Source organism: Homo sapiens, chromosome X, assembly GCF_000001405.40.
Source record: "Homo sapiens chromosome X, GRCh38.p14 Primary Assembly".
NCBI classification, from domain to species: Eukaryota; Metazoa; Chordata; class Mammalia; order Primates; family Hominidae; genus Homo; species Homo sapiens.
In genome coordinates this window covers 92,373,763-92,386,023 of record NC_000023.11, presented here as the reverse complement: position 1 = coordinate 92,386,023, position 12,261 = coordinate 92,373,763, and the positions used below count along the sequence as shown (strand labels likewise).

The following is a 12,261-nucleotide window of genomic DNA, read 5'->3' as shown; positions in this document are numbered from 1 at the left end:
ACATGTAAGTGTAACAGCCGGACAGGATTCCTTTGGGCCTCTCAGAGGGAGTAGTGGGTGGTGTTGGTTAAGGTAACTCTTAGCAGAATTAGTACGAGCAGAAAATAAACTGAATAAAAGAAAAGCTTGCTGGAACTAAGTAATATTGAGGAGTTCAGAAGGCAGGGGTTTTTGCTGTTGTTTGTTTTGTTTTGTTTTGTTTTAGACAGGGTCTCATTCTGTCATCTAGGTTGGAATGCAATGGCACAATCTTGGCTCACTGCAACCTCTACCTCCCAGGCTCAAGCGACCCTCCCAAGTAACTAGAACCATAGGTGCACACCACCACGCCAAGCTAATTTTTTGTATTTTTGGTAGAGATGGGGTTTCACCATGTTGCCCAGGCTGGTCTCGACCCTTGAGCTCAAGCAATCCACCCATCTAGGCCTCCAAAAGTGCTAGGATTACAGGCATGAGCCACCTCACCCAGCCTTGGTTTTAGTTTTTTGGGGGATGAGTGTTAGGTTGTGTGGAAGCTGTGAAGAGTGACATTGACTGTATTATCTGATTAAACCACACTGTATTTTCTAAGATTTAAAGCATTTATCAGGGAAATAATGTAACTGAAATATCTTTTTGTATGCTTTTGCCTAGTCAATATCCCTTTTTCTGTTTGTCTTTGTATCTAGAACCCACAGTGAAAAGAGGAAAATAAAAGCTTCAGGTCGTCTTCTGATCACCTCTACAGAGACATAATCCGAATGTTACCCTGAATTACAGGGCATTAAAATACATGGATTACCTAGCCTGTCAGTCATCTATTATTTATTAGTACTAAAGATATTTAGTAGGGAGCTACTGAAATAATCATCAATACTCTATTCTTCAAAAGCAGAGTTTCATAAAAGTTTATAAAAAGTTTAGTTGCTTCAACTCTAAAGTCTCAGAGTACTAAATAAGCCCTTGTGAAACCGCCTTTGCAAAATTATGACTGAGACACTGAAAGGTATCTAACCTAGCCAACTCCGTCTTGCTTCTTAACCTCCAAGCTGTCCTTGTCCATTCCTGGGAATAGGCTGAACTAACTTTGGGAGAAACTTAGTTTATAGTTTAAAACAAATACACTAACAGCCCTTTCCCAAAGCTGACCTCTTTCTTGCCTGGGGACTAGATTGCCTTTGTAAGATTAACATTAGCCACAAGATTAGTAATTATGGTTTAGGAGTCATGCAGCTGGAGGCTACAAGATTCTGACCCTCCCTAAACTGCTCCTAAGCAGTGCTTGAGATATTTTGCAGATCCTGCACTTGATGGACCAGCTGGCACCACCCAGATCGATAAACTGGCTCATCTGATCTTGTGGCCCCCACCCAGGAACTAACTCAGCCCAAGAAGACAGCTTTGAATCTCTACGATTTCACCACTGACCAATCAGCACTCCTGGCTCACTGGCTTCCCCTCACACACCAAGTTGTCCTTAAAAACTCTCTCCCCAAATGCTCAGGGAGACTTATTTGAGTAATAATAAAACTCTGGACTCCTACACAGCCAACTCTGCGTGAATTACTCCTTCTCTACTGCAATCCCCCTGTCTTGATAAATCGGCTCTGTCTAGGCAGCGGGCAAGGTGAACCCACTGGGTGGTTACATTTGCATTCTTGTAAATAAACTAACTAAAACATTGTCAATAGCTTGTTGGATCTATTTAGAAATTCATAATATATAAAAAATTTACAACATTTAAAGAAACTATCATCAGAGTGAGCCGGCAACCTACAGAATGGGAGAAAATATTTGCAATCTATCCATCTGACAAAGGACTAACACCCAGAATCTACAAAGAACTTAAACAAATTTACAAGAAAAAAACAAACAACCCCATTAAAAAGTGGGCAAAGGATATGAAGAGACATTTCTCAAAAGAAGACATTTATGCGGCCAGCAAACATGAAAAGAAGCTCATCATCAATGGTCGTTAGAGAAATGCAAATCAAAACCACAATGAGGTATCATCTCACACCAGTTAGAATGGTGATCATTAAAATGTCAGGAAACAACAGATGCTGGAGAGGATGTGGAAAAATAGGAACACTTTTACACTGTTGGTAGGAGTGTAAATTAGTTCAACCATTGTGGAAGACAGTGTGGCGATTCCTCAAGGGTCTAGAACCAGAAATACCATTTGACCCAGCCATCCCATTACTGGGTATATACCCAAAGGATTATAAATCATTCTACTATAAAGACTCATGCACGTGTATGTTTATTGCGGCACTGTTCACAATAGCAAAGACTTGGAACCAACCCAAATGTCCAACAATGATAGACTGGATTAAGAAAATGTGGCACATACACTCCATGGAATACTATGCAGCCATAAAAGAGGATGAGTTCATTTCCTTTGCAGGGACATGGATGAAGCTGGAAACCATCATTCTCAGCAAACTAACACAGGAACAGAAAACCAAACACTGCATGTTGTCACTCTTAAGTGGGAGTTGAACAATGAGAACATATGGACACAGGGAGGGAAACATCACACACTGGGGCCTGTTGGAGGGTGTGGGGCTAGGGGAGGGATAGCATTAGGAGAAATACCTAATGTAGATGATGGGTTGATGGATGCAGCAAACCACCATGGCATGTGTATACTTATGTAAAACACCTGCACGTTCTGCACATGTATCCCAAAACTTAAGTATAATTAAAAAAAAAAAAAAAAACATTTATCTACAGTTTTAAGAATGATAAACTAATCATCCTCTAGGACCCCTCTTATAACCATTAAACTGAAGGTTCAGCAAACTTTTTCTGTAAAGAATGAGATAGTAAATATTTTAGGCTTTGTGGGCCATATGATACAGTCTCTGTCTCAACTACTTAACCCTAATGTTGAAGTGTAAAAACAGCCATAGACAATATGAAACTGAATGGGCCTGCCTGTGTTCCAATAAAACTGTACTTATGGACATTAAAATTTAAAATTTAGGTACTTTTATGTATTATTAAATATAATGTTTTGCTTGAACTTCTTCATCATTTGGCTCTAAAGGCCATGGTTTGAAGACCTCTGATCTGGAAGGCTAATTTTTCAATATGGAAAAGCTGGTTAAAGATAATTATTGTGCAGTATAAAAGGGCTACTACATTAATATTCATGTCATAATTTGTTCATGACAAATTTCTGTCTGTAGCCCTGCAGAGAAGTTGTGACACAGAAATTAAAACAAATCTATTGACTGGAACAGTGACTTTATGGGATGGAAATAAATCCTGGCGTTTTCATGAATAAATATTTGCCCTGAAAAGCTAGTTATTTTCTGCCAGTAGCAGAGAGAAATAGCACAGGATACCTCTCCCTAAAATCCACACACCTCATTTTTAGCTCAAATGAATCAAAATTCCAGAACACAACAATACCCAGAAATTATATTGGTGTCATTCACATAAATCATTTACAGACTAAATATCAAATCCCCAGCATTCTTGTGTCCATTAAACCTCATGAAGGCATCATTTCATAGTAATTATCAGGTAAATATTTTTACATTTCACAACATGATGCAAGTGGCATTTTGGACAGGTTAATCTGGCACCAAAGAGGCTGCATGCAGATAGGTGACCCTGTGATTCTAATTATAGAATACTTGAGTATCATGTTAGAGAAGGCTCATTAGAATTACTTATACAACCTTGCACACGCCATGAGTTCAAACCTAATACACTCTAACCCAATCTTCCTTTAGATTCACTGTCATCACCAGTAACTCTGATTAGAAAGAGTAATCATATGTAGGGTCATTACTTTCTAAGGATTACCATATGCAAGTTTGCTTTTGATTTACGTATAAAATCTTTTGAATTTCAAACTATTAAGAATACTTTAAGATTCCAAGTTCCCACATTTTATAATAGTAAACAACCTCATTCTGAAAGTCAGAGGATTTCTGCATTTTTTTCCCATAGGTACTGTCTCTTAGCCAAATGATTTGTAATTACTCAGTATATTAACCCTTTTCATTTTTGTCCCTGTAGTCTACTAGCATAATTAACAAGATCAAACCTAAACTACTTACTCCATTGTCAGTGATGAAATAGACTTGGGAGATGATGGAACCATGGATCACATATGATCCAAATAATCATTTTATTTTTAAGAATATTAGTCAATAGTTAAGTTTTTCTAGTTGTTATTTGAAAATATGTTTCCATAAAATAAGCCACAAGTTTGGTTTGAACACTGCTTCATCTCTGGTGTCACTCCTTTATATTTGCAAAATAATTCTCCCTTTGCCATAGTTACACAACATGTCTGTTTAATTAATACATTTTAAACAAGCCAAATGTCATTCAAGCAACAGATGGTTTCTGACTTGGATTAGATGTTGGAATAATTTTGTAGCATACAACGAAAGAGGAAAAACCTGGCATTGTCATTAATGGCATAAACGCTTGGATCAAAATATTTCTTGTTTAATGTTAGTAAAAAATGCAACAAAAAGTTATGATGGTGAATAAATATCAGTTTTTAAATAATAATTATTAGAATGTATTCCTAATAAAATTGGAGAATGCACACATCGGCTAGTATGCTAGCAATTTCGTTAGTGTGTTGAGTTTATGGATAGTGGTAACATATTTGTTTTAGACCCATTCTGGTGTATATGAAACATGTTTGTTTCATCTTTTTTACCTGGTGTTCATTAGCACATGGAAAACAATTGCTGCTTTGTAATATGTGTCACTTCCTGGAAATTAATATAAGATGAATAGACCAATGTTTCCTTTAAACTTTTCTTACATTTAAAAAACATTGAAGTTCTATAATCATCATAGATAATCAAATAATAAATTAAAATAGTTGCATCTTCCAGTAATAATATTCACCAGTGTGGAAGATAGTAGCAAGCAACGTTGTGGTAAATATAGTTGTGGGTGGAGTTGTGGGGAGGAATTGTAATCAACTAATATCTGTAGTGTTGCTGTAGTCTTTTACTTGTGGATCTCTCTACAGAGGTGTATTTCTTCTAAAAGCAGACTCCCCTCTACTTATTTTCCATACAAACAAAAATATCTCTATATACTGTCTACCACACCCACATACTCCACACGCACATACACACATACACACACACGGTATTAAAAATAACCTCAAAGTGACTGACAAGTTAAAGAATTAAAAAAAAAAAAAGATCATTATGCTATGGTCCAAGGAGTAAATTGATATGGCACTGTCCTTTTCATTTTTCTTAAAAAGGTATAAAAATATACTTCTTAATTATTTCTAAATTGAGGATGGGAATACAAACTAGTAGAAAGATATAGTCTCCAACTCTAAAACCCATAAATCAATCTTATATATTTACCTCCAATATATTATTTGGACCTTTTGTAACACTACTTTTGTTGCCTTTCATAACATTTGGGAATTAGATAAGGGAATGAAAATTTGGATAAAATTGATAGCTAGCTACAGCAACCAGTAGCTATCAAGTGGTTTTCAAAACATCAGCTACGTAGAAATCACCTAGTTAATTTGTTAATCATGCATATGTCACAAGATCTTCGGGGTGTTGCTTCACCAGACAGAAACCTCTGTGGCCGATGGTGCCTTTGCTCGAGTTTTGCTCGGGCCCACTGGGCTTATTCCACCCACTCGGCTTGGCAGGCTGCACTCAGGTCTCACTACCAGCCCGGATCCCATGCCTGCCAAAGGCAAGTCAAATGCAGGGAGGAGAGGGGTGTGTGAGTGAGCAAGCACAAGTTCCGGCCACTGCGCATAACCAGGTACACTGGCTGTGGTGAGGTGGGCAGCTGCAGGTGCCAGCGTGGGCACTGGATCCCTGCAAGGCTGCAGCTGAACCAACTGTACTGCAAGTGAATTGGGCACCAGGGAACATGGTGGCACCTGGAATCTTGGAGATGCCAGGACCCACAGAGCCCCAAAAAGGGTGTCACAGCCCTGGCTCAGGGAGCTCCTAGGTCCAGGCTCCCCAAAGGGCACAGCTCTTCTCTTATGCTCTCTTCTATCCTCATCACCCCCAACGTGGCAAGTTGGGGTGGGGGGGGTGGTGTTTCAGCCCTGTTTGTGTTACAGCTCTTTCAGTCCTGCCATTTGGTGGGTCCTGAGACCTGTGTCCAGGAAGAATGAGGTATGCAGACAATTGGAGTGTGAGCAAAGTGAAGAGATGCTTTGTTGAGTGAAAGCGCACCTCTCAGAAGACACGGAGTGGGTAGCTCCTAACAGCAGTTAGGTCATCTGTCGTTTGTCCAATTCTCACTGAGTCCTGGAGTTTTTATGGGCTTGAGACGGGAGAAAGTCCATGCTGATTGGTCCATGGACAGCCATAGGCAGGCCAGAAAAAGCACGCATTCTCACTCTGGTCTGAGGAACTGGCCAACGGGCCCCCAGGCTTCAGGCCTTCTCTGACCGGAAGGTGGGACTTCACCAGGGACATGCCCTTTTCTGAGCAGAAGCCTCTATGCCTCCTGACGCTATCAATCATGTCACCCATGGCACCCACTATCAATCATGTCATCTATGGCACCCAGGCTGTTCATGCCAAAGGGCACCTTCAGGCCCATGCCCAGCTGCCCTCAGCACCCCCTCTGCTTCCCTCCCTTGTTTGTGGGTGGTCAAAGTCTGGAGGGGGCTGAGGCAGCCATAGGCATGTCAGCACCGCCAAAAGCTCACACACATCCCACCAGGTTGCCACAGTGCCCAGGCTTGGCCTCAACTTTGCTCCAAAATTGGAATGGGCAGCTGGAGAGCTGAGAGGCCAAGCAGCAGGTGCAGGCTCTTTCAAGCCTGCTGGGGCAGGAGGGCTTCCTGGGTCCCCAAGAGCACAGGATACCTGGGGCAGCAGTCCCAGCTGGGCCCCTGCAACTGCACCTGGGAGGGCGAGGCCCTCACCCCTCCAATTCAGAAGGAGGTGGGGCTCCCACCTGTTCCTGGTTCCCACAGGCTCCATGGAGCATGCAACCCTGGTCACGCCTCCCCCACTGCAGCTGGTGTCATGGCAGTGGCCACTCCAGACAGCCGCCACTGCCATCACAAATTCCTGGGTTTCAAAATTCAAATATTCTGTTCTGTTTTAGTAGGTCCGAAGTAAGATTCAGATTATTTAAGCCACATGGTCTACCATAGAGTGAATGTTTGTGTCACCCTAAAATTCATATGTTAAAACATAATCACTAATGTGATGGCATCTGGAAGTTGGCCTTTGGGAGGTGCTTAGGTCATGAGGGTAGATCCCTTATAAATCAGATTAGTGCCCTTATATAAGTGACTTCAAAGATCTCTTACCCTTTCTGCCATGTGAGTACACGGTGAAAAGATGCCTCCTTGTCTATGAACCAGGAAGTGAGCCTTCACCAGACACTGAATTTGCCAACAACTTGATCTAGGACTTCTTAGCCTCCAGAACTCTGAGAAATAAATTTATGTTGTTTATAAGCCACCTAGTTAATAGCATTTTGTTCTAGCAGCCTGAGCAGATTAAGACATGGTTCTTTGATAATTTCAGAAACATATATATTTATATGTGTGTATGAGAGAAAACTGGGAATGCTGATTAAGTTTTCTAAATATGTTTATAATAGACTCTTTTTTTGGCATTTTAATATGATCATATTAGAGTAATGAAATTCTAATGATGTCAGACTACCCTAATTAGAACAATTTTAGAATATGATTATTTCACAATTTTTATTCTATAGACATCTCCTTTTGCCACAATATTATATTTAATCACATCTCTTACCCTGACACTCATTAGAGGACCATTAAACAAGACAACTTACCGTGAAACTATGAAATAAAAACTCTCAAAAATCATTATTTTTCGTAAAAATCAAAAATAAATCTACACAAAAATATCTTTCTAAATTTATAATAATAATCATTCTAAGGCATTTGAAATCATTATGGGCAACATTTCTGGGATTTTTATTGCTCATATACCCTCTTTGTAGATCAAAAATACATTGTATTGATCAGAGAAATCATGATTACAATTTGTTTTCTGCTGAATAATTAAATTCTATAACATTCAAAAGTCATAGGATTATCTTAAAAATAAGAGACCAATTCTGAAACAAGAATATATTCACTTTTACTTGGCAAAATTGATGAATTGTCTTTGGATATATATATATATAATTTTATATTTTCAAGCCACTACATCCATTAACTATACAGTTTAATCAGTTCACTTTTAATTCACTTTAATTAGTTGCTATTACTAGAATGATTTTGCATTCAGGATGTGTTCCTGCTCACTTTTGATAAATGATACATATGATCTAGTGATGACATTATTAACACAGAGATGGCCATGGTATAATATAATGAAAAAACGTGGGATGGGGGAGCTTCACAGATACGAAATTATCTGTGGATAATTTGATCATACTAGAGTGATGCTGTTCTGAAGAAAAACTAAGACAATTGCATGGTACTATAAGGATTAAAATAAAATCAGTAAAAATATTTTTTTCAGATTATATGCTTGTGTGAATAAAGGAATCACATATTTTCTATTTAATAAGAATTGATTATTGCTTGGTACAGCCTTCATAATACAAAATTTTGCTTTTATTTACAATGAAGACAAGTTGGATCATAGGACTGTTAAAATTAGAGCTATGAATCTCATGGCATTGAAGGAAAAATATTGCTAAAAGAGATTTGTGCTTAAGAGCTCTATAAACTGTAGTGTTGGGGCACCTTCATTCATAATAAAATATTCCCAAATAAGTATAATGACTCTAGGTCCAATACTGAGTTCAACTAATGTTAAATGCAATGAGCCTTCCAAAAGTTCTGATTTCTGAGGTGCATTCAATGGTTTATTTAAGATATACAAATTGAAAAGATTACATCCTACAAGATACAGTAGGTCATATTTTACAATTTTAAAAGACTAGTGTTGTCTCTAGCTCTCTGAAGTTCCTATTAAATTTCAAAATGATACCTTTCTGTCCTTTCCACTTACACCTTGACAATTCTTCAGTAAGTAATTAACACATAGAATCTATAAAACTGTACCTGGCAATTATATAGAATATTTCCTTACTGGAAAATTATCTGTTTTTAAAAAATATTTTGATCATGTTTCCAAATGTTAATGTAAATCACAAGTGACTCATTAGTAACTGACATAAGGGTCAGGAGTTAGAACTGGTGGTACTTTGAAAACTGCCATTAGCTAATAATGTTTAAATTTAAAGAATGTTAAATTAAACATAATGGAACATTAAGTTATTGTCACAAATAAGTACAGGATTTATTTATTTATTTATTTTTGCAAAAAGTGATACTGAAAAGAGGAAGAATCAGGTGCTATTTATTTTACCTAAAGAAAGAGTAGCGCACTCCGAACATTTGCTTCTGTTTTGACATCAGCCTTTGAAATGTGTTTTATTAATCTAGACTTCACCTTCACTTAGTGATCACAGACAACCAAGCAGCTTAAAATCCTAATAGACATATGGCACAAAGAATTAAGTTAGCCCTATTGTTGAAAGATGAATTTGCTGTATATTAGTGCTGCTGGATATTTTTTTTGTTCAGTAGCTTCGTGAAAATGAAAATCATCAAATCTCTTCAGTGTGTTTGTTACATTTTGTTAGTTTTCATGCTCCTCTAAAATTGCTTATTTATGAATCTATTTAAATTTTGTTGCAGTAATGAAGCAAAAGCAAAATAATTACATCACTTTGAGAAAATAACACAAGTAACTCGATGTTAAGAGGGTAAACTCTAAGTTGGAAACTGGTCATAAAAGACGGGATAAATTCAAATTAAAGACAGTTGCTCACCCCGCAATTGATTTTTTAAAACAAGTTTGACATGTCAGTTTGTGGTACATTTTATGAAACAGATTTTTCTCTGATCCAAATAACAGCAAAATATGTTGTGATATATACATTTACAAATATGAGCTCAGACCTAATAGGGGAAAGAAGGGCATAAAGAAGATATCTTGATGGTAGGAAGAATACACACACACATGCACATGCATTCACATATGCACAGTGCTTTTCAAAAGTCTAAGCACATCAATATTTCTTAATTTCCTTCTCAGGTTATTTAAAAAATTGCCTTTAACAAACAAAACAAGGCCAGGCACGGTGGCTCACGCCTATAATCCCAGCACTTTGGGAGGCCGAGGAGGGTGGATCACAAGGTCAGGAGTTCAAGACCAGCCTGGCCAAGATGGTGAAACCCTGTCTCTACTAAAAATACAAAAATTAGCCGGGCGTGGTGGCGGGTGCCTGTAATCCCAGCTACTTGGTAGGCTGTGGCAGGGAACTGCTTGAACCCAGGAGGCGGAGATTGCAGTGAGCCGAGATTGAGCCACTGCACTCCAGCCTGGGCGACAGAGTGAGACTCCATCTCAAAAACAAACAAAGAAACAACAAAAAAAATATTAAAAGTCATGTAAACAGGTAAACACTTTAAATATGCAATAATCTTTAACTAGATACTACTAGCAAATATTTTTCAGGTAATAATTGAAAATACATATAAACATAAACTAATTCTTAAAAATATAAATGAATGGGCCAGGTTCGGTGGCTCACACCTGTAATCCCAGCACTTTGGGAGGCCGAGGAGGGTGGATCATGAGGTCAGGAGATCAAGACCATCCTGGCTAACACGGTGAAACCCTGTCTCTACTAAAACTACAAAAAAAAATTAGCCAGGCTTGGTGGTGGGTACCTGTAGTCCTAGCTACTCAGGAGGCTGAGGCAGGAGAATGGCATGAACCCAGGAGGCAGAGCTTGCAGTGAGCTGAGATTGTGCCACTGCAATCCAGCCTGGGCAACTGAGCAAGACTCCATCTCAAAAAAAAAAAAAAAAAAAAAAAAAAATATATATATATATATATATATATAAATGAATGGAATGATTAAAAAGTAAGTGAGGTAAACCCTTAACAATCTGCATGTTTAATTTTATATTTAATAATCCCAAATATTTAGGATAAATTTTCATTAACTGCACATTTTAAAAATTTTGCCTTGCCAATGTATTATGAAGAAATCACATCTAAGTTTGCTTATCCATATATTCATATAATATCAACAAAAATCATTGATTTGACAGCAATAATTTCAAGATAGTAATTAATAATTCAATTTGATAAGCCTTTGGACATTTTCATAAATTTTATACACAATTTAAATATGGATAAACAAGATCTGAATTACATTTCACACATGGTGATATGGATTATCACTTTAAAACCTGGCTCAATTGAATTCCGAAGACATTTGTTAAATGGCAACAGTGTAACATTTGTTAAATGTTGCTTATTACACTTGAACACATCTCAGATCCAGAGGATCTTTCTATTATTTTCAACTGAACCAACAAAAAGCTCACGTTGCAGAAGAATCATTCTTCAAACAAATATAATCAATTATCATACCAGAAATGTGGCATATTGTGAAGCTTCCACATCTAATATTCATTTGTTAGGAGGAAAAAAAAGACTTTTCATTGATATTCTAAAGTATTGATAAAGGTCTTCCTGACTATTACTATGCTAAGTGCAAATATCTGGAGACAAAGAGCACTCTCTGGGAGACAATGGATAAATCGTCTTTGGATAAAAGAGAAATGTTAAGATAACAAACTTGTACTGAGGCAACTTGAAGCAGTATTCTGTGGTGGAAAAGATAAAATGTGAGTTACACATAATTCAATTGAAAATAATCTTCAGAAATTTAAAATTTGGTAAATGTTTTTTAAAGGGTTGCATTATTGATTTTTAAAATTCATATTATAAAAAGAGAAATGGCCAGGAAAATATAAAGTTCCATGATTCATTTCTGAAGAAAAAAAATGACAAATATAAAAGTGAGGTTTTGAAAATGCAATAAAAACAACATAAAGACTATATGAAACCATGGAAATTATAACCAGTCACTTCATTAAATATAATTATATATAAAAACTTCAAAACAATCTCATAGGAACATGCATCCTTGGTCTTTAAAATGTCTCATTTTGTAGTGCAACATCTACAAGCAAGTAAATTATTGTTTTTTTAATTGCCACAGGAGTTGCGGTGCAAAATTGGTTATTAGAAAAGGATGAGTGCTGTGAAGTCTTAGAAAAATAGGATACAATTTCATTTAGATGAATGAAAGTAAATGAATACAGTTCACTTGTTTGAACACTGTCTTCTGTTTAAAAAATCAGTTAATTCAGTAAAGCATTACTCTTTAGTTTTACACTAAAATATGTAGGCACATTTCTAAGGATCACAT

The 12,261-nt window shown here is 37.2% G+C and overlaps 1 protein-coding gene across 13 annotated transcripts in view; it reads right to left on the bottom strand.

Moving 5' to 3' along the window:
• PCDH11X (protocadherin 11 X-linked) overlaps positions 1 to 12,261 on the bottom strand; it is an 843,856-nt gene that overhangs the window by 237,207 nt on the left and 594,388 nt on the right. The window lies entirely within an intron of this gene.